General features: G+C 32.9%; 1 protein-coding gene across 65 annotated transcripts in view; it reads right to left on the bottom strand.

The window, feature by feature from the left end:
• TBC1D5 (TBC1 domain family member 5) overlaps positions 1-24,771 on the bottom strand; it is a 585,470-nt gene that overhangs the window by 197,820 nt on the left and 362,879 nt on the right. For all 65 annotated transcript variants that reach the window (XM_047449296.1, XM_011534283.4, XM_047449314.1 and 62 more), the window contains 4 exons: positions 21,544-21,632; positions 19,648-19,698; positions 19,490-19,559; positions 17,094-17,266 (listed from right to left, as the gene is read on the bottom strand). In XM_047449296.1, the coding sequence (XP_047305252.1) occupies positions 17,094-17,266; positions 19,490-19,559; positions 19,648-19,698; positions 21,544-21,632 (383 nt within the window). The remainder of the gene's footprint in view (positions 1-17,093; positions 17,267-19,489; positions 19,560-19,647; positions 19,699-21,543; positions 21,633-24,771) is intronic.

Here is a 24,771-nt window from a genome sequence, read left to right on the forward strand (position 1 = left end):
ACCTAAAATAGTTTTGAACTATTCACCAGCTGGGCAATAGCTGAAAATCCAAATCTGGCCAACTGGACTGTAGTTTGCAATCCAAAGGATGGGATCATTTCACTCCCTTTATCATTTCCCTTTCGTTGTTTTCTTATAATAAGCCAAGGTTTTTATAGAACTCTAGCAAATTGTCTCCCAGATCCTCTAACTTCCAACTTATGTTCAAAAAAAGGTATGGCAGTTTATTGGCTTAGCTATTTTTATGCCTGCTATAGTAGCCCAGGGTGCTACCCTATCAGTTTCCAAGGTCCTTCAAATGTATTGTTCTATTTATGGCACTCTCAAGACTCCTGTATGTTCCCAATTGTTTTTAAGAATGAACACCAACTCTCAGGAGGCTGTGGCCAATTAAAATAGTTCCAAGTAGAAAACAAAACTCAGAAAATTCATTCAAGTATGTCACTGGGTGAATTAGTATCTTGTAGGAAAGGACAGCCATCTCAGCCTGGATTTCCTCTTTAGGTAATCTACAAGTTTTACTCTAAAGTAATATTGAAGAACACAATCATCATCATCAAGAAATATCAAGTATATTGTTTTGGTTTTGCTGTATGACATTTAACATCAATTTTCATCACAGCCATTTTCATAAAATATATAGAATGTGTGACAAGAAAGTAATAAATTTTTTTAAATATACCAAAATTTATACATGAAATGAATCATTCACATCCCATGGTAGCGTTTTTTTTTGGTTTTTATTTCCCATAGAGGCTGAGTACTGTGTTTTGAGGGTTTTACTCATGCAAGTAACTAACAATTCTAATTAGAGCCAAATGTGGTGAATGAACAATGTGAGAAATAAGGTTATGCAATACTTTCTGAGGTCAAAATGTTCTTTGTTTGATTTTATAGCTATAAAACAGGTTTCTAATGTGGCTCCTATTCTAGTAATGAAGCCAATTCCAGAGAGAAAATTCCAGAAGTATTTTGAGGAATAATGGTAAATTAAAATAAATGTGTAACTTGTTACAATGACCATGCTTTAGAAAAACCATAATCATTTTTAATATTAAAAGCACCAATATGCTGGTTTTAAAAAAAGTGATCATTGTTGGTTAAAATTTTTGGTTTGGTTTTTTAATGGGAATAAAGCTAGTCATTGTGTTATTTTCAAAGGTGTGTAACTTTAAAATTGCAAGGGACTTTTAAGTGCCATCTAATCCAATCTCCCATTCATAATAAAAACACCCATTCATAAAATTTCTGATGGCTGGGGACTATTGAGCTTTTGCTGAAATAGCAGGGTGAAAGCATGCTCACCTAATCCTAAACCATCTATTTTGCAAACTCCTTTCGATAGAGAATCTTTCAGGCTTGCTGCTTCAAAACATGCCCCCCAAGTTCTTTCTACTGGGTCTTATCTGGCCTTCTAAGAAGAATGTTCCCTGCTCTAATTTATACTTTCTAAATACCCAAGTGATACTAAAACAAAGCATAATGCTTGATATTAGTAGCTGCTTACTAAATATCTGCTTACTCAATAATGACCTGAACAGTTCTATTTTTAAAGAACCATTAAACTGGAAAAAATTATAATAAAATTAATGAATTCGGATAAAAAGCATAAACTGAAGAAATTTTTAAAAGATACAGCAGCTTAAATTTCTATTATTGTGAAAACTTAGAAATCTAAGAACATCTAGGTGAAGAGCCAAACTTCTGACCAACTAGAACAGAGTGAGCAGCAATCAGAGGCAAAGAGGCCAATCATATGTGGGTCAGAAAATGGCTGGGATCAGTCAGGTAGCTATGGAAACACACCCTGGGGTTCTGAAATGCAGATCCTGGGTGTGGTGAGCTAGTCTCCCATTCTCTTGGGACTTTCTTCTAGAAGGCAGACCTTGGGAGGCAAAATGACCTATGACTATAGATTTGGTACAGGAGAATCAGTCAAACCTTCTTTCTTCAGAGATCTTTAAATAGTTTTTAAAAGTGGGGGTTGTGGGGAGATAATCACTGTTTTGTGATAAAAAAAAAAAATAGTGACACTATATACATTCCTAATAAATGATTTAAATGCATGGCTACCAAACTTAAAAAAACTCTTCCCATGTTTTATTTTGCCTGCCTTCCTGCATTATGTCTTACCACCAGCAGAAAGCACTGGTCAGAGGTGCGGATGCAGTAAGGGCCAAGTGAAGAGAAGGATACAAGAAGGAAGGGTGAAAAAGAATAAAAGACTGCACAGGCAGAAAGCCAAGGTGGTGGAGGGGAGTCAGGACAAAGCCTGTCTGACCAATCTGGGCAGCAATGCAAAGAAAGGAGGTGCTTCCTTTCTGCCATCAGCAATACAATCCACTGAAAAGGATAATTAGATAACTAATCACCTTCACTACTGTTTTAAAACTGCATTTTCCACAAAAGAGTGGGAGTGAAAAGTCAAAAGAGTGGGAGTGAAAAGTCAAAAATGAAAAAAATAATGATAGGATTTGGCACTGTTGTCATAAATACCAACCGGCAGAGGCCTTCCTGCCTAGAGGTGATCGACGTAGAGAAAAGGGAGTTACTTATAGATGGCTGAAGCCAGAGCAAGAGGCATTTGTTATATGGGGACTGACATCACTACAAAAAAAAATCTCTTCTCAATTTTCAGTTTGAGAAAGTGACATTATTTATCATATTATTACTTAGACGTACTTAATAAATATGTAAGAAATATTTCCTATGCAACAGGCACTGTTTTAAGTGCTTTGCAAATAAGAACTCCACATGGAAACCCTATAAACTCAGTACTCTTGATCTGACTTTAGCTTTTCTGTTGCGTTCCATTGAATAGGAGACAAGATCAGATTTTGGTTGCAATGAATGAAGAGTTCAGCAACTGAAAGAACAGGTATAGAAAAGATACTTTATAAATATTACATTTCTCTGCATATTTCTTGTTTTACAGAAAATAAAATCCTATTAATTATAAACTGGTAGTTCAAATAAACTAAACTTGTAATATATACCAAGCAACAACAGGATAAAATTCTATCCATTAAAATATATATGTAGTTCTGTACCTCCCCCCACAACTCACTCCAGTTGGGGAAATTTATCATCTTCATGCTTGGAAACTGGTGAGCTAGAGAAACTAGATCTCTGGTTCTCTCCAGTGTCACTGCCTTGGCTAAATTCTGATACTGTCCACAATGTTCACTTTTTTTTTGTTTGTTTGTTTTTGTTTTTGTTTTTGAGAAGGAGTTTCACCTGTTGCCCAGGTTGGAGTGCAATGGCATGATCTCGGCTCACCACAACCTCTGCCTCCTGGGTTCAAGTGATTCTCCTGCCTCAGCCTCCTGAGTAGCTGGTATTACAGGCATGTGCCACCAGGCCTGGGTAATTTTTTGTATTTTTAGTGGAGACAGGGTTCCTCCACGTTGGTCAGGCTGGTCTTGAACTCCCGACCTCAGGTGATCCTCCCACCTCGGCCTCCCAAAGTGCTGGGATTACAGGCGTGAGCCATTGTGCCTGGCCCACTGTCCTTAATAGCACTATTTTTAATTGTTTAGGTCCCTCCCATTGACATAATTAGGTCAGAGGTTCTCTTTAATAAAACCTGAATCTACTGAGCATAGGTGCAATCTCTCAGCTTACAACTCATTCTTTTTTATCTCAGTCCCACTCATTTTGTTATTGTTTCTGATGCCTCTTAGAGCTTAGATCTATTAAAATGATTACAAATTCTAAATTAAAATGTTTTAAAAGGTATATTTTCTCTAACAAATTCCATGTAGTACAATCTTTAATTTTAATTAAAAAATTCGAGTATTTTTAAACTTGAGATATTTTAAACCCTACATACCATTTACAATTTAAGGCATAATAAGAACCTTTGGAGATGGTACACTGGTATAAAAAATCTATAAAAAATCATTGAAAAATATCTAACAATAATTCGTGTAAAATGACAATAAAAGCATTAGAGAAAGCAAATTTTAATAAAAGAAATTTTTAGAAATAAAATACATATACATGCCTAACTTACTATATTATTATAACAAATAATATTTCTTTTTCTGCATTTAAATTCTGTTACAAATCTATTTAAAACTATAAAAATAAGAAATTTGAGGGGATAAAGAAACACATAAAGAACCAAAAGTAGTCAAAAGCAAAAATAAGAAGCAAAAAGCAACACGTTCCACCAGCATTTCATCTGTATCTCCAATTAGTGTAGAAAGCTTTTCTTAGGGTTTGTTGGTTGAAGAATTTTTATCTTTTATCCTTTATAATAGAGTGTAATAAATGACAATTTTTCTTAATTGATTCAGCAGCCTTTGTCAAAGCATCTTATGACATTATGAAAGGTTCTCTTCACTAAGCAAGCTCCATCATTTTTCTTATATTTAGGTCAGAAAAGAAGTAATAGTGAGAAGACAGGATTCCATCTTGGTATTATGGGTCAGATAAAATTATACCGGTAAAACTCTGTCCTTAAAGTAACTTTACAAAAGCCAGAAAAATATCTTAGAATTGTCATACAAGATGCATACTGGTGATCTCAAATATCTTAAAAGCTAGTCAGGAGACACTTATCTAGAAAACTTGCTTTTACAGGCACATTTGAAGCCCTCTTTGTTCCCATAAAAGGTTTTACACATATTAAGCAGTCTCTCAAGGTCAAAAAATAAGGGTAGAAACTTAAGTCTGGTCACAACCTATCAAAGACACACAATGTAATCACTAGTATAAGTGATACAGGTTAGCTTAATTACCAAGTATACTTAATAATGGAATATGATACCATACATAAATTACCATATGGCAATAGAAAAGAGCTTATTAGAGCAATTAGCTCTAGATATTCAATTTGCCTCTAGGTTACTTGGTTATTCAAAGAGTTGGAGAATGGAAAAACGGAGACCCATGAAATAAAAAATCCAAGGATAAGAAAGGAAGGAGAGAAATCTGAATATTAAAGATTAACTTAATTCTAGGATGTTTTACCCACATTTAACTATTATTTCTTAGTAAGTCCTGAAAAATTCTCCTTCAAGCTTTAGAACCTATAGTTTTGATTGGAGGGTAGAAATTACTTTCCTTCCAATCTAAATGTATTCTGCCAACAGACTGGAAGGCAATGTCAGTTTTAAAGTATTATCACTGTTACTAAACCACATAGTTTAAAGAAGGCATTCCTTTGTTTTACTGTGATTTAAAAACAACTCTGACTAAATATATTTCTGGGAAAGTTTTATTTTTCCTGACCCTTGTTAGATGGTATTTTGTAATTATAAAGTTTTGGGGTAATATTAAATATTCGTTTTTCCTGTATACTTATGTTCAAAGAACCACAACCACTGTAAAGTCACAGTTTTATCAGGCTTTCCTTAGAGAATGTTCATATAACCTGAAGTTGATCAAGTCTGGTTAGTGACTTTAAGACCGGGATTGGCAAAGGGTTGTGTTGTTTAAGATATACAACCAAAAGAAAGGATATTTACTACCTTTTTATATATATATACCTAGAATGGCAAATATAGCTGAGGTGAAGGTATGTTCTATCATGAACTATTTTGGCCTATCAGTTTTCAGCGCATCAGTATTTCTCAGGTATCTAGCATATTTTGTTTCAATCGCCTCAATTCTTATTTAGAAATATACATTTTTAAAACTATGAATTTAGTGACATATTTACAAAAATTTAGAAATATGCATAGCAATCTTTAATAAACTGTTCTAATAAATACAAATTTAAAAATAAAGTCTTAGTTGCAGAGTTAAAATTATGATTAAAATTTCTTCTATGTTATATATTTTGGAAGTATTTAAAAACTCATTGTAAATACTTCTCATTAGAAGGTAAATACTTTGGAAGTATTAAAACTACTCAAATATGTTGAATAAATATGACATCATTTGTTTTTTGGTTGTTTTCATTAGTCCCATATATTTACTAGGTTCCAAAACACCAGTGAAAGAAGCCATCTAATTGAAAGAAATTTCAAACTGTGGCCAGGATTTTTGGAAGGAACAAAAAGAGACATCCTGGTCTATGTTTAAAATTACATTTCCAAATATATATGTAATAGTCCTTTAGCTACAGTATATCAAGACCATATTGGAAATCATTGGTTTCTCAAACCTCATATGTCCATTATATTTAAAAGTTTCACAATCAAGTCTCTATGTAACTATTTACGTGACTGGAACGCTATTTCCTGTGTGTGAAAAGTACCAGTAAACAAAAACACGAAAGCAAAAGCTGAGTTGCCTAATTTTTTTTTTCAACTGTGCCATTTGCATTGGGTAAGAATACTGGATGTTTCATTATTAATCCCACATGTCTGGTCATTTTAAAGTAGATTTAGATTCAGAAATTTAAAAATTTATAATTATAGCTGGAGACAGAACAAGCAGACAGAAAAACAGCAAAAATATGGAAGACCTAACCGACATAATCAACCAATTTGACCTGACATTTATAGAACATTCCATTCAACAATAGTAGAATAAACAATCATTTCACGTGCACAAGAAATATTCACCAAGCTCTACTATATTTAGGGCTAAAAACAGGCTTAAAAATCATACAAAATCATGTTTTTAGATCATAATGGAATTTAATAAATTTTTAAAAGATATCAGAATAATTCCCCAATATTTGGAAATTAAGCAATACAAATAACCCATGGTACAAAAAGGAAGCCTTAAAGAAAAATTTAAAATATCTTGAGCTGAAGAAAAATAAAAATATAGCAACCCAAATTTTAGGAATACAACTAAACCAGTGCTTAGGAAGTAACTTATAGCAATAAAAACATACTTAAAAAGAAGAAAGGTCTGAAGTCAATAATCTGACCTCCTACCTTCAACAACTTGAAAGAGAAGAGGAAAATAAACCCAACGTAAGTAAAAGGATAAGAGCTGCAACTAATGACACTAAAAACAGAAAGAAAGAAAAAGAGAAAGGGAGATAAAATTAATCAAACCTAAAACTGGTTCTTTGAAAAGATCAATTTTATTGATAAACTTGTAGCCAGACAAAACTAACTGATCTTCAACAAAAGTGTAAAGGCAATTCAATGGAGAAAGGGTAGTCTTTCCACAAATGGTTCTGAAATAATTGGATATTCATATTTAAAAAAGAAAAAAAGTTGACCAATACCTTTTACCTTACATAAAAATTAAGCCAAAATAAATCATAGACCTAAATATAATATATAAAGCTATGAAACACAAAACATAATGTGTATGACTTGGATTGGGCAGAGTTCTTATATGTGACACAAAAAACAATCTCCATAAAAGAAAAAGTTGATAAATTAGGTTTCAACAAAATTAAGTGTTTGCTCTATGAAAGACATGAGAAATGAAATGACAAGTTTCAGATTGGGGGACAATTTGCAAATGCAAATCTCAAATGTGACAATGGACTTGTATCCAGAATAAAGAACTGTCAAAACTTAATACTAAGAACATAACCCCAATTTATTCAAAAAGGGCAAAAGATGTAAGACACGTAGACTGACTTTTTTTTTTTTGAGTCTCACTCTGTCGTCCAGGCTGGAGTACAGTGGCACCATCTTGGCACACTTCAACCTCCACCTCCTGGGTTTAAGAGGTTCTCGTGCCTCAGCCTCCCAAGTAGTTGAGATTACAGGCATGTGCCACCTCACATGACTAAGTTTTGTATGTTTAGTAGAGATGGGGTTTCAGCATGTTGGCCAGACTTGTCTTGAACTCTTGGCCTCAAGTGATCTGCCCGCCTCGGCCTGCCAAAGTGCTGGAATTACAGGCATGAGCCACTGCGCAAGGCTCTGACATTATTTTAATTAAACTATTTATTTTGAGATAATTGTACCTTCACATACAGTTGTAAGAAATAATACAAAGAGCTCCTCAGTACCCAGCAGTTTTCCCCAATGGTAACATCCTGCAAAACTACAGTCCAATGTCACTACCATGATATGTTCCATTACCATAAAGATCCTTTCCATGCCCTTTTATAGCCATATTCATTTCCTTTCTCCCTTTTCTTGTTAGTCTTGCTAGTGTCTGTCAATTTAATTGACCTTTTCAAAGAAACAACTCATTTCATTTATTTTCTGTTATTGTTTTCAATTATATTAGTTTTAACTCATATTTATTATTTCCTGCCTTCTACTTTTATTTTACTTTTCTTTTTCCATGTTCTTGGCATAACATTTCCCCTATTTTTATTTACCTTATTATTGGAAATGTATTATTTCTCATTTCATGTCATAAAAAACACTGTGATAAACATATCTATACATGGACTTTTATTCTACTGATGCACTTAGTATGTTTATATGCTTAAAAGTAAAATTATGAGTCAAATAATCCAATTGGTCAGATTTCTGACTTACCCTCCCTATTGCCTCCTAAATGATTATATCAACATTGAGCAAAATTTTCTCTAATCTTTATCAATCTAAATGAAAATTATATTATGCTACTTAATTTGTATATTTCTTTCCTTTTTTTTTATTTTTTTATTTTTTAGAGACAGGGTCTACTCCCAGGTCTCTGGGACTACAGGTGTGCACCACCATACCTGGCTAATTTTTTCTTTTTTTTCTTTCCTTTTTCTTTCTTTTTTTATTTTTATTTTTTGGGTAGAGACAAGGGTCTCACTACCTTGCCCCCAGCCTGATCTCAAACTCCTGGCCTCAAGATATCTTCCCGCCACGACCTCTCAAAGCGCTGCGATTATAAGCATGAGCCACCTAATTTCTGTTTCTTTAAATGTTTGAATAGCTGAAAGTTTTCACTATATGTACTGGCCATTGTTAATTTTTCCTTATGATTTGTTGTTTCATTTTACTGTTCTACTTAATGGATTAGTGATTTCTTACCAAATTTAGGACTCTATATATAAAAAATAAAAATTAGTATTTTATTCTTCATATTATTTCTTTATGTATGTTAAATTTTTTAAACCAATTTAAAAATCATAAGGAAAAATTTACATTGAATTTTATTGGACTAATTTTTTTTTTTAATTTAACAGAGTTTAATCGAGCAAAGAACAACACAAGAATCAGGCAGCACCACCACCCCCTCCCCGGACTGAAATTTTGAAGTAGTCAAATTTCCAGCTTACCATCTAGAATGTCTTCACTGATATTCTTACAAAATCTATCGTCATTGGAAGATAGGCTATTCATGTATGTTTTCTACTAATTATTTAGAGTTGTAATTGTTTCATTCTTATTACTTGATGTTCCTTAAAATAGCAACAAAATTTTCACCATATCATATTTTGAATAATCAGATCCTTGTATTACTGGTTTGTGATCTTTCCTTCTTTTGTTTTTCTTTCCTTCCCATTCATCCATCTTCTCATGTACTCAAAAATTATTTGCTGAGTGTTTACCACATGCCAGGTTCAGTTTAGGGAGGCATTTGAGATATATTAATGAATAAGACAGACAAACTCCTTGCTGTCACAGATTTTACATGCCAAAATTCAAGGCTATTGTATGTCTATGAAAAACTGAATGTTTTATGACTATACAAGGCTATTCTCTGTTTCTTTCAATGCTTTTCTTTGAAGTATATTATCTTGATATTACAGTTGCTGTCCCTGTAATCCTTTTACCAAGCTACATCATTTATTTTAGCTGCCTCTTCTAAGAAGCATATAGTTGGATATTGTCTATAAAGCCAGTCAATAATTTTTGCCTTTTACTAGGTAAGTTTAAAGCATTTATGTATAGTACCATAACTAACGTTTGATAGCTTTGTCATCATCTATTATGCTTCCTTTGTAAATAATCTTGTTACTTTCTTTTGTTATTCTTCTCATTGCTGCTTCTTATTATGAGTCTTATTAATAGCCAGGAATTTTGCACTGAGCACATAAAAATTAGTAACAATGAACACTGATTGAGTGCTTACAACGTGCCAGGTATTGTACTCTATATGATTTTTTTCATTTAATCGTCACAATGCTATTGCATAAACATCTTTTATGAGCATTTTTTAAAACATTTACTTAGTGATTAGAAACATCAATAATATATTTATTTCATGTGTACTGATGAATTATGTAAACTTCCATACTTCCTTCCCTCTTTAAATTATTCACTAGAATTAAGTAGACTTAAGATACAAATAATGATTTAAATTATTTTCACTGCTATTGGCATGATTATTTTTGACAATTGCTTTCAGTTATTTAGACTTAATCATATCTTACTGGTTACATTGCTTTCCAGTAGTCCTCTTACACTTGTTTTCCTCTTGCTTGAATTATTGATTTTTGTTCGCCTCTCAGTGGGAAAAGCATATTTTTATCTAGAAAGGCATGTGGATGGTACCCTTCCTAAGCTAGTGCATGCGTAACTCAGCACTTTTCCTTCTTGGCCTTTGACTATGCTAAAATACATGGTCACTTTGTCAGTAAAGGTTGTTTCTCCCACTTCATCAATTAACCCTTTGTAGGTCAAGTTTAAGATTAAAGTAGCAGATCCCCATCCCCAAGCTTCCTTAATTTTTTATCCAGTAGTCTGACTTAAATAAGGCCAGAATTGGACTCCGACAAGGAAATTTAAGCCTTCAGGCTATGGCTTATTGTTTTAGCTATACATTTGCTGGGGGCACATCCTGTGTGAAAGATCTGGAGCTCATTTATTCCTGATTTGGGGCATGGCTGTGGACCTTAGGCTCTCCAGGGGCCTTGATTTTCTATTCCTTCCTTTTAAGGCTGGTTTCTAATCAGTACTAACAAGACTCCTGATTCTGGGCCTTGTACCTAGCCTGGGTCTTTGATATCTGGTGAAACTGAATTTGGCTCATGGTCCAATGTGACACATAAAACCTTCAGATGCCTCAGCTTTCTACCACACTTATAGTCCTAGTCAAATTAAACTGTGAATATTAGCTCAAGAGTTCAAAGCCTGGCTCAGCTTCTTGGTAACTATTTAATCTAAATAAGGCTTTATAATCCTTCATTTCCTCATCAACAAAATGGGGATAATAACAGTACCTATTTCTATGTGTTATTAGGTTAAATAAGATAAAGCCTTTTGGCCAGGTGTGCTGGCTCACACCTGTAATCTCAGCACTTTGGGAGGCCAAGGCAGGCAGATCACCTGAGCTTATGAGTTTGAGATCAACCTGGGCAACATAGTGAAACCTTGTCTTTACCAAAAATACAAAAAATTAGCTGGGCATGGTGACAGGTGCCTGTGGTCCCAGCTACTTGGAAGGCTAAGGTGGGAGGATCCCTTGAGCCTGGGAGGTTGGAGGCTGCAGTGAGCTGAGATCACACCGCTGCGCTCCAGCCTGAGTGACAGAGCGAGACCCCCTCTCAAACAAACAAACAAAAAAAAACAAAAAAACAAAAAACAAACAAAAAAAAGGATAAAGCCTTTAGCACAATGCCTAGCCCTCAGGAAATAATAAATATAATAAATTATGAGTCATTATTTCAAATATTTAATTATTCTTCCCCATAATTCTTAATCAGTGATCATTCTTCATGTATAAGGGGAAAAACTCCTACTTTCTGAAAAATAATAATTCTGGGAAAACATTCAGTAGTGTATGAAAGCAAGCTATCATTGGATCGTCACTTTCTAATCCTTCATATTTCATGTATTATGTTTAATGTATAATATAAAGCTCATTGAAAAGAAAGGAATATCTCAATTGTTAACTGTGTTTAGGAAGTTCTTAAACTGTTGAGAGATATAATCTTTTAGGTGGATAATTACACTGACTTCTGATGACTGAGAGTTACTTTTTTACCAATATGTTTATACTTCAAATATAGGTTAAAAAAAAACTTGGCATTCAACATAATTATACTATGATATGTTAGAAACAATATACTATGACATATTTTAAAATTATATCAATAATTTGGCAGATTAGTAATCAATAACCAAGAATCTCCCCAATTAAATTACAATAAACTGCACGGTAAAACAACTGCTAATCCAGATAATAGAAAACAGACATGGAAGATATATAATAAGCATTTGGGGGATATGGAATTTATCCCATGAGTGTTGTAAAGAGCTCATAATTTAACAGTGACGAAGCCCAAGCGTGTTATGAGGGTCTTTCCTCAAAAGTGACATTAATTGCATATCCCACAGATGCCTATTATGTACTCTATTGATATCAAAGTATAAAATACAGTAAAAAGTTTACAGATTCAATACATTTAAAAGTGATAATAAAACAGTTATTCTGGCCTACTAAAACTGTTAAACTTCAAATTTTAGTCTCTTTATAATAAAAGAATGCTGTAGTAGCATTGAATCTCTATATAAATCTGCTCTAAGTTAGAGTTTTTTGAACTCACAACATGATGTGTGATCAGTGATAGAATTGTAACGCAAATATTTTAGATGCTTTTGCACAAAAATAATCCCCAAGTGATGAAATCTCAGGACATTCTTATGCTTATACTAAAAAATACCACAAAAATGACTCTTAAAAAATTACCTTGGAAAGCTGGAAATGATGCAGTCAATATTTTACTTTGCAAATTGGTCAGTATGTATTGACAGGTTTATAGAACCTAATTTTTTTAAGTGCAATACCAATCAATAATTGGCAAACAAAAGACAACTCAATATGTTAATTAGGCTGGGCGCAGTGGCTCACACGTGTAACCCCAGCACTTTGGGAAGCCCGGGCGGGCAGATCACTCAAGGTCAGGAGTTTGAGACCTGCCTATCCAATGTGGTGAAACCCCATCTCTACTGAAAATACAAAAATTAGCCAGGTGTGGTGGTGGGCGTCTATAATCCTAGCTACTCAGGAGGCTGAGGCAGGATAATTGCTTGAACCCGGGAGGCAGAAGCTGCAGTGAGCCAAGATTGCACCACTGCACACCAGCCTAGGCAACAGAGCAAGACACCCTCTCAAAAAAAAAAGAAAAAAGATGTTAATTATTTATTCGAATTATAGTAAGAGAAACTTCATTCTATGTGCAACAGAAGGAACTTTCATAAAATTAATGAAAAACATAATATAAATTACCTTTAGGATATATTATTTTATAAAATCACTTATGTTGAACATTTAATTGCGGATTTAATTTTATTTAACCTAAAATACAGGTAGTAAATTGATTTAAAACTTGCTAACAAAAAATTTTTAATCATCCAGAAGATAATACAGTTAAATATATAAGTAACAGCATTAAATAAGCAAACTGTTATATAATATTCAAGATTTCATGTGGACTTATTCACATGTCAAGATAAATGTCATCAATTTATATAAAACTAGGATCATGTAATTTAGAATGAGATTATCAAATTTTAGTGCAAGTAATAGTTTTGTACTATTTGTTAATTCTAATTTTGTTAAGTACATCTATTAGCAAAATGCAGCAAGTGTACATACTTAGGGCACATCTCCCACCTCAGGAGATATTAACATATATTCTCTTGGAAAAACTGGTTTTAAAAATAATTGCAAAATTTAGTGACAAATATAACCATAATACAGACTAGATTTAAGTAATTTGATGTTCCATGCAACTGTTAAAAATTTTGACTAAAAGTAGAAATTGGACTCTACATGGGGCTTAATTTAATCTTGCTAACACTTTTCCCCCATGTAAATATATATTTATGATTTACTCCTCTTTCCATACAAGCTGTTGGTAATGATAACATTTTGCCATTGGCTCATTCATTATTGACATTTTTATTATAATTTCTAATATTTTACTTTTATTTTTTATTTTCTTTTTAAATTTTTCATTTTTACTATAATTTATAATTTTCTTGAAACATTTTACTTTACAAAAAAATTTGTTTTGTTTGAAAATTAAAATTCTATAAAATATCTGGCATGCAAAAGCACACTTTAGATGACACCATTATGAATTATTATGTAATCTGAGAAAGCAGTTTCATTAACTAAAAAGAGATTATTTTACATCTGCCCCTTGGTGATATTTACTCAAACCACTGTCTATATTTTCAAGTATTAATTCTGAATGTAAAACTAAATTAACAACTTTCTTCTAAAAGGAATAAACAGTAGCACAGCAATTACTTAGATTAAGATATTTGTGTGATACAGAATAAGATATTTTAATTCATTTCCATGAGATACAAAACTATAATATTAAATTCTAGAACATAAAATTATTCTGCCAAACTATATGATCATTTCTAAAAGTTTACTCCCAACTTCTATAGCATCACTTTAGAAAGCAGTGGTCTAAAACACGGCTATTATAAGTTTGCAGGTAAGAGAAGCACATAGGCTCTAGTGAAAAGAAAAAAAAAGTCAAAGACAGAGTTGGAAGGGCTAACTAATGATTCACACAGGACATCATATTCACATAGCCATGACATTCTAATTAAGTAATGGTAATGACAAATAATGATAATAAAGGCATGTCAAAACATACATTAAATGTATACTACATACTGAGTACTACTTTTTTTTGTATATTATGATTTAATTCTCACAGGCACCCTATGAAGTAGGTACCATTATTTTTAATTTCCATTTCACAGATGAAAAAACAAAGGCTGTTTCATTTCAGAGCCTATGCTTCTATCTACCGTTATTATTAGAGATGGGGGTCTTGCTATGTTGCCCAGGATGGACTCGAACTCCTGGGTCAAGCGATCCTCCTGCCTCAGACTCCCGAGCAGGGTGGGATTACAGGCATGTGCCACCATGCCTGGCTTACACTGTTTTTTGACCCAAAGTTTCTAATAGTCATTAATAGAAAATACATAGATGGGTAGTACAGATGGTAGTACAGCTTAGGGATATAAGAAAATTCAAGCACTCTGGCCTTTCATGTGCTCCATAAATAGTAATAACAAAACCAAATTAATATGTGAAATAGGTAAATAAAATCCTTGCATTATAAAATGTAATAGAGGCCAGTTGAGATGAGTAATCTATTCTTCAAAGATTAAAAAATACATATTTTAAAAAATAATACAGATGAGATTCTATTAAAATATAATGAGCTAAATGAGGTAGCTATGATTATTGCAAGACCTGGTATTTTCAGTATTGCTGATAATGTTGGAGAGATTAAGAATAATTATGTCATGGATCATGGAATTTTAATGGGAAGGTACTGGTCAAAATGCCAAAGAAATTCTATAAATTATTCTGATAAAGATGAAACTAACCCCTGAAACTAACTGAAGGAAACTAACATCTGAAAAGGAAACAGAAACACTCTGGTTATAAATTATTGCACCCAAGCCCACGCCATCACCACTGCAACATCAAGCACCGGTTTGGGCAAGAAGGCAAAAAATTATAAAGCATTTCAAAGAAATGATAAACATGTTCAACATCAACTTCTTTCCCCAATATTTAAAACCAATTTCTGGATCTTAGCAAGCAATTTTTGAGGGTGTAAAATGTGCTTTTGTATTTGGATATACCAATTATTTGCACAGTGGAGAGGAATATAAAAATTTAACTCCTGACCTTGTTACTAGCTCTTTCAAATAAATTTTTATGTCTATAATCATAAATGTATTAGTTAGACTTTCAAATGTACATAGCAATTCATTAATAACCTGCATTGCTGCCCAATACCACATGTCACACACAATTTTCTCATTTCCAGTGGAAATAATGAAGCTGCTCTCAATGATGAGGTTAAGCTAAAGTAAGAAAAAGGAAAACATGCAGCGTTAAAACAGAAAAGCAGACTTCTTCAGTCACAGTTCAGGGCTTCCAGAGAAGAAAAACAGCTGAGAGTTATTATTCATGGAAGACTCTGTATAAAATGAGAATATAAACAAAACACTATTCTCTTTTCTGGGTTAAATAAACAGACCCTGCTCTGGGTGACTTGTTTGAGATTCTCTGCAATTGAAATAATGAATTCACATTTATTGAGCATCTACTAAGTACACCTCAATAAAAAAATTGCCTCAATTTTGCATGTTCTACCTAATGGAGAGTCAAGCTTTACATAAAGTATCTACCAAGAAACTGCCTAGCACTACATATAAATGTTCTACTATTTCAATATAGAGAACCCTTTTGTCTGTAGCAGTGCATAGATAATTCACATTTACTAAAATCACTATTTTTTAATTTGCATACACACCTTATAAGCCACTGAAAAAATACACACACACACACACACACACACACATGCACACCCACCCCTAAGGAGTGAGCATCTCCCTGTTCTGCTATGACATGTTACAGAAGTTATGTGGCTGAAGAAAATTAATACATTATGGTCATTATGGTCTCTGAGAGGCATCTATCTTACTTACAGGAATCTACGTCTGAGGGTAGAACAAAAGATGATCATATGATATAATGGAAAGAACATGAATATTTTATTGTATTGTTAGGATTTGGGGCTGGCTCCATGCATGTACGACTCATACAACTTCTTGGAATGCTTGGTTCAATGATCTGCTGTTACCAGCTTGAAATTCTTACTAATTTTTTCAAAGGGGCCTTGCATCTTTCTTTTGCACTGAGCTCTGCAAATTATGTAGCCAATCCTAAATAATTATGGCTCTGAGTTATGATTTCACTGTGAAATATGTGTAAACTAAACCTGAGCCTTAACTTCTTCATCTCTAATAAAGGAATAATACCCAATTTACAGGGTTGGTATTACAAAGAGTATTAGATGAGATACCATACACAGGTGAAAGTGATAAGCACTGAGCATGCACATAGACACACAAAAGAGATGTGAAATAAAATGGAGAAGGAACAGTTGTTATTTTTAAGGATCCGAGCACATAGAAATTTACATATCATTAGAAACTACTATATAATTAGATGTAGTTGAAATTGAAACTTTAGGCTGGGTGCAATGGCTCATATCTGTAATCCCAGCACTTTGGGAAGCAGAGGCAAGCTCAGGAATTCAAGGGGAGCCTGGCCAACATGGTGAAACCCTGTCTACCAAAACTACAAAAACTTAGCTGGGCTTGGTGGCACGCGTCTGTGGTACCAGCTACTTGGGAAGCTGAGATGGGAGGATCGCTTGAGCCCAGGGGGCAGAGTTTGCAGTAAGCCAAGATCATGCCACTGCACTCTAGCATGGGTGAAAGATGGAGACTCTGTCTCAAAAAACAAACAAACAAACAAAGAACTTTAATACTTACAACCCATATATCTGTGGTGCAATTTCTAGTCTGTTCAAGTGCATGTAAAGCTCAATATCATGCTTCTTCAGTAGATGATCCTGGATCTGGTTGACTTTAGTAACAATAGCAATTGTTGGCCCTAAATCTTGTGGTCTAGCAAAGGGAATGGGAGTCATCAGTGTTTCTTTCCCCTAAAAACAGAAAAATTGAACATGTATTATTTAAATATGAAATTAATAAATATATGGATGTCATTCTTTATCAATGACAGTTTAAACAAGAAGTCTTATTATCTGCCTACTACTCATTCTTAAAAAAAGGTGAGAGCACCATGAAATAATTAAAATAGGAAGATGAAAAAGGGATTCACTAGAAATACTTTTTAGGAATATATTATTCATTCATATATAAGGGTAATTAAGACGAATGTTCAAAAGTCACATCTATTATGTTCCTTGATAAAAATGAATGTCTTTCTTTGTGTTGTCTAAGCCACTTTTATAAAGCTGACTCAGTAATATCAATACAATTAGGTAAAATCAAGAACTGATAACCCTCACAGTTTAGTCACTGAGTTTCTCACCTAGCGTGACTCAGTTATAAAATACAAAATGACCACTATTAAGAAATGATCAGTGTTTAAATGTGTTCAAATACTCTGCTCAAAATGTTGATGTTCATATAAGTCTATGACTTCATCACATAACTTGCCAAGAACAAAAGGTTATTATTCCAAAAATATAAAGTAGTTTGCCAAATACGCTTACAGTAGCTTTTACCTTCTACAACCCTTTTAGAATATAACATATTGGTATATGAAGAAATACTTTATCACCTAGTGTAGGGGTCAGCAAACCTTCCCTGTAAACAGCCAGAGAGTAAATATTTTAGGCTTTACGAGTCATACAGTCTGTGCTGCAACTCTGCCACTGTAATGATCATGCAGCCACAGACAATAAGTAAACAAATAGGAATGACTGTGTTCCAAAACATTTTATTTAAGGGCATGGAAACTTAAATTTCATATTCTTTTCACATGTTACAAAATACTATTCTTCTTTTGACAGTTTTCTAACCATTTAAAAATGTTAAAAACCACTCTTAACTCATAAGATGTATAAAAACAGATGGTAGGCCAAATTTGACCTACAGGCAGTAGGATGCCAACCTCTGAGCTGGCCAAAGGCATGAAAAACATCGATTAACTATTTCATTTTTTAAGAGATGGAATGAAGTGACTGAGTAATAATGGTTTCTAACCAGAAAGCAATTAATTATACCAATATAAAGGAAATAAGCCATACTGGAAACAATATACCAAATTCTTTAACAGTATCCATTGCCAGAAGAATTTGTGATTTTTCCAATATTGTGTAATATAATGAGACAACCATAATGATCACTAAGATAGCATGAAGGTTAGTTTGAAAATATAGTTAACTCAGCAATTCCACTTCTAGGTATATAACAAGAGAAATGAACACATGTTCATACAAAGCTTGTATATAAATGCTCAAAGTTATTCACAATAGCCAAAAGTGAAAATAACCCAAATGTCCATCGACTGATGTATGGATAAACAAAATGTGGTATATCTATATAATGCAATATTTTTCAGGCATAAAAAGAAATACTGGTACATGCCACAATATGAACACTGAAAACACTATGCTAAGTGAAAGGAGTCAGTCACAAATGGCAGTGTATTATATGATTCCACTTATATGAAATATCCAGAATCAGCAAGTCCATAGAGACAGAAAGTATATTAGTGATGCCAGGGCCTGTAGGAACAGGGAAATGGAGAGTGACTGTTAATGGACATGCAGTTTTCTTTTTGGGTGATTAAAAAAATGTTTTGGAATTAGATAGCAGGGATGTTTGCCTGCTAACCCTATAAATATACTAAAAACCATTAAAAGTTTAATAGGTACAAGTTATGCTATGTGAATTATATAAAAATTTAAAATATAGTTAAAAATATGAATAAGAGGAAGAGTAAGAGTAAGGGATATTGATGCTAAATGTATGAATTCAATAGCAACGCACTGGTAAAAGCAAAACAACCTATTTGACACAGATTCTACCTATGCACTTCAGTAATAATGTGTATACCAACTAACTAGGGTAGCAAGAGAAATATAATAATTTTGTAACGAAGCACTTATGCTGCTTGATTAATATACACACATATAAAATGTATTTATATGAAATTTTTACAATTGCCTTTGTGTATCTGCCAATATGATTAGAAATATACTTAGATCCCCAGGCTCAATCTTATTCCATAGGTAATTTCATTTTGGTTACAGCAATAATAAAGGCTATATACTATTCTTTGGTTACATGTTGTTATTTATTGAAAGCATTTGCTCCATAGCATATACTGAAAAGATCTGTACTATAAGATTTACCTTCTGACCATCATGCTCAAAAGTTGAAAACCAAGGTTCAGCAGTTTCCATAAGTTGTGAGAACACTGCACTAAAAATAAAATAACACAATGCTATGTAACTTTCATTAAAATAATGATGGTATAAAAAAATAAAACAAAGAAAGTTTTTGTACTTACTAGGCATCATGTTCCAGATACTCAGGGTTCAAGACAGTTTTCATTTCCTCACTTAAAAAAGCAATACAAGCAATCAAAATGTGTAATTTTTGAATAATTAAAGAGGCAGAGTTTGCCTTATTCTATATAAGACAACTTTCATATAATATGCAAACGAAAAAAATTAGTCTTTTTTAATGAAAAGAGCAATGCCATTAACAAATGATATGCTTTCTTTCTATAAAGATCAAAAACAAATTAGCTGCCTTGTCTATGCCTCTATGCGACATGAACTATCTAATTATTCCAAATAAATACAGAATTTGACAATATATTCCTTGACTATGATTCATCTAGAATAATCAATTAATCCACAATCTATCACTTGTTGTCCAAAAGAACAAAAAGGTAGTTACTGGTCAAATATGCAATATCAAAACATTGATTTATTTTCTTTAACTGGATTTATTTTCATTTTATCAGTCAACTTATCAGTGACAACACCTCTTAAGCATTTATTTTACTTTTTAACAGATTGAATCAGCTGAAGAAGCAGGTCCAACACATTTAAAAGCTATTTTCAATCACCTATATTTTTTTGTAAATTATATTCTACATGCACATTTTTTAAAGAGCTGCTGTCTGAAGAATACACTCACATGTTAAAAAAAAAATGGCAGGCCGAGCATGGTGGCTCACACCTGTAATCCCAACACTTTGGGAGGCTGAGGTGGGTAGATCACGAGGTCAAGAGATCAAGACCATCCTGGCCAACATGGTGAAACCCCATCTCTACTAAAAATACAAAAATTAGCTGGGCGAGGTGGTGCCCGCCTGTAGTCTCAGCTACTCGGGAGTCTGAGGCAGGAGAATCACTTGAACCCGTAAGGCAGAGGTTGCAGTGAGCCGAGATAGCACTGCTGCATAGAGCAAGACTCTGTCTCAAAACATAAAATTTAAAAAAAAAAAAGGCATTACAACAGGATCCTAATACTAACTTCATGTTTAAATTTTAGAATAACTGAAGTGAAAGCAAGTTATATATGGTTATACTATTGTCAAGATTAAAAAAAAAACTCAGTAAAATTAGCAAAGCTTCAAGGAAACTTGAAAATACTAATCTATAAACTAATAGACAAAAGTTAATTTAACAAAGGCCTGAATATATGCTCAGCAAAGTGGATGGCTATATTTGATTAATAAAGATCTTATAATCAGATATGTGAAATGTTATCTGCAAGTTTTCTGTTTACTGCATATAGATGCGCTGGCCTGATGAATACTCCTGGACACAACCTGACAGTCCCAGAGCCCTCCATTTCCAAAATGATTTTCTGAAGGCCCCAAAGTTAGGGTATCTTAAGTTAGAAAAATGAATTCTAACAATTAGCCTAAGTTGAATCCAATTACAAAAGTTATTTGCAGGAAAGAATAAATGAATATATCTAAAAAATTTGAGAAGCAATTTTGTTTATTTACAGACTGAGGTTCTTTGTGGCTCCTTATGAATTAAGCTGAGTCAAACCTGATGAGGAGAGATAATCTCATATATAAAGTCTTATTCAACTTGGAGTAAAAAATGGATCATTGAGCATGATATATATGGATAATATCAATCATTAGCACTTTTGTGATTACAACAAAAATTTTCCATTCTTGATCCATTACTTACATGTCTTCCTTTGATACAGAATCAAGAATTCCAAAGACATTTATGATTCTAAATTTGCCCCATAGCTAAACTGGCCTAACAACAATTAAGTAGAATTAACAATTAACCACATGAAACACAATCAAATGTTTACAACTTGTACAGCTTGTAAGTACCTTCCATTTAGAAGATTTTGAGGTTTCAAAAACAAAGGTTACCGTGGGGGCTAAAAAACAAATGGAGCTCATATTAAAAAAAAAACTTGCCTGGGCTGTGCAGACTCACTGGCATGTAGAAAAGCTTGGTGGTCACAGTGAAGGACAAAGACTATAGGTGCTAACAGTTCGTGCATGCCCTGAAATAAAAGAGCCAGAAAAATGAAAGAGATGGATACTCAGAGTCCATTAGTGGACAGTATAAACTCAGTTAAATACTTCTTCAAACCAATTCCCACTAGCAAAATTTCCACATTACATAGAAACACATAAAAACGGAAAGCTACAAGATGAGATTTTTATCTACGTTCAGAATTTGATTCTAATTCAACCACAGCAGGTATTCTTCTTTAAAATATGGAGAGCAGTTCTCTTTTAAATGACATGACAAACAATAAATTGGCATGGTAGATAACCTTGCACCTGTCAGTTGCTTCAAGATCTGTACTCATAAATATGAATTTCATTTATGCAAATTATAATCATGAGCTACAGTGTTAAGATCTGCAGTAAGAAGGGCAACTAAGAACTGTAGACCTAAGGAAATTACATCCAATGTTTTCATTATATAATGGCTCAAAATTAGGATGTCTGTAGATTTAGGAAGTGCTGAAGTCAGCTAGCTAAAATGTTGGATAATAAAAGAAACAACCTTAAGAAGGTATGACAGAAAATAAACTTGTTAAAATAGGATTTAACATGTTTAATCAGAAAACTACCGTAATTTTTTCCTGTCTACTTAAATTCTAGGATTAATTTCAATTTATTTAATGATTTCACCAATACGATTTTCCTCTTTATATTGGTTTTCACCAAAAACAGGAATAGAAACAAAAAGGTATAATATTAGTTACTAAGCTGTCCTTAAAAGGGTACTAAAAAAAATCCATTACTGATCCATTATTGTGGTGACATACAGTATTCCACATTATGGCTACCTTTGCTAATTGAGATTTCTTTCCCCCTTAAGCATCGAAAAACATTTCAGCAAGTTAAAACAGATTATAATCTTTCCTGTCTCTTAAAGTGAGCAAATTACTACTTTCCTTTTGCTTAGTAACTAGGGATGCTCTTTTATAAAAAGACAAGACAAAACACCACTTTTAGAGGAAATAAAAATAAAATACGAAAGCAGAGAGGAGATAAATATTTTGCTGGTAGAATTAGAGAAGACTTCCTATAATGGATGAACAGAGTCACATAGTCCTCTGCACAGTCTAGTAGTACTGTACTATTCTTAGAAAGCCAATTGTTATCATAAAGATAATATGCAAGTTAACTTTTTCAGACTTCATGTATAAGTTATCACTAGCTTTGAATTAAAAAGATTTAGTTATATTTTTACAAAACAATTTATGATTCATTGACAATTTACTTGTGATTTAGGACAAATGACCACATATCATTTCAATCTTTATAGGTAACCATCTCCTTATTAAACAAACCTTGAAAAAAATCTTTCAGATAACATGTTAGACACCTAGAAAAATGACATTAAGCATTACTAACTCTGCTTTAAAAATCATGAAGGGTTTACTCTCTTGGAATAGTCTCAAGTTACTCCAAAAAGAAAGTGCCATAATTTTAATCATTAAAATAATAAATAAGTATTGTATTAATAGAAAAGTATGGAAAAGCAAAAACCAAAATAAGAAAATGATAAAGGGGGAGAAGGAGGCCAGACAAAAACCAAAAGTTAAGAAATAAATTTAAAACTCCAATAGATATCCTTGTGATCTTTTTTTGCCTATTTCTGAGGATTTCTCCAGTATTGAAGTCCTTGGAAGTAGAATTTCAGGGTAAAGGGGTAAAAATATGTGTTAAAGTCTGGTAGGATGTATACCATTAAGCTGTCTCCAGAAAGAATTCCCTCAGTGAAGAATATAAAAATCACTCTCTCACACATCCTCACCTATATTCAGAGTGTTTTAAAAAAATTTTGTCAAGTTTCACAGTTAAATTGTTATAGTTTATTTAAATGCTAGCAAGATTGAACCCCAAAATTTTATTGACCGTTTTTACTTAATAAATTGCCCTTTTTCTCCTCATGAAATGTTTCGTTTCCTTGGTGATGTCTAATAGTTCTATACCAATGAAAGGTATTAACCCTTTGTAATTTTTGTTACAAACATTTTACCATGCTTATCATTAGTCTTACTTTTGATTTCTATGATATATCATACTGACATTATACACTTTAGTCAATACAATAAATCATTCTTCATGGTTTCTATTTTGCTTTCATGCCTATAAAGACCTTCCTTATATTGAGATTAGGAAAGAATACAGTTTCCTTTTTTTTTTTTCAGTTAATTCTTCACTTAACTGATATAAGTTTAATTTTTGCCATGAAAATAAGTATGTTTTTCTCCAAAAGAATTACACCAATTTACTGATTAATCATTCCATCTTCAATAAATTCAATCTATTCAATAAGCTGAATAACCCATCTTCTCCCCAGAGTTCTGAAATGCCATCTTTAGTAAAAAATAAATATTTAGCTTACATTTTTTCCAGGCTTTCACTGTGAAATACATTGGTTTGTATACTATTAACAATAACTGTACCATTATAAAGATTCGACCTTTAAAATATTCTAATATTTCCTATTTTCTGCTCCTTTTTTTTTTCAAATTTATCTTGATGATTCTATTTTTTTATTCCAGGCTATGTCATTATCATGTAGGTTACATAAAATGGTAAACAAAACATTACAATTGTTATTGGCATTGCATTTAAATTAACTTGAGGAGAGTATTTTTAAGAACATCAGATTTTCCAATCCAAAAATTTGCAGAACTGCATAGTTCTTACTAGGTTTATCATGAAGTTTTCTTTCTTTGCTGTCAGTGGGATGCCCTTTTGAAAGAAATAGTGCTTTTTCCCCAAAATATATTTTATAACAAGTTATGGCTAGTTTAATAAGAGTTCTTGTCTAAATGGATCTTTCCAACTTTAAATGTTCTCTTCCTTCTAGTTTCTGTTACACCACTCTGTCTAGATTCTCCATTAATCATTCACGTATTGCAAAAACTATTAAATGCCTATATTTGCTGTGGACACAAAAGTGAATGAAGTGGGCAAGTTCCTAACTTCGATGGAGCTTGTGGTCTAGAAAGAAAGGAACAAAATAATAAAATGAGCACAGAAATGACTATACAATAGTCCCTCATTATGTGCAGGAGATATATTCTAAGACCTCCCAGTAGATGCCTAAAACTGTAAATAGTACTGAAAACTACACATACCATGCTGTTTTTATACATACACCTGTATGAC

Source organism: Homo sapiens, chromosome 3 (genome assembly GCF_000001405.40).
Source record: "Homo sapiens chromosome 3, GRCh38.p14 Primary Assembly".
NCBI classification, from domain to species: Eukaryota; Metazoa; Chordata; class Mammalia; order Primates; family Hominidae; genus Homo; species Homo sapiens.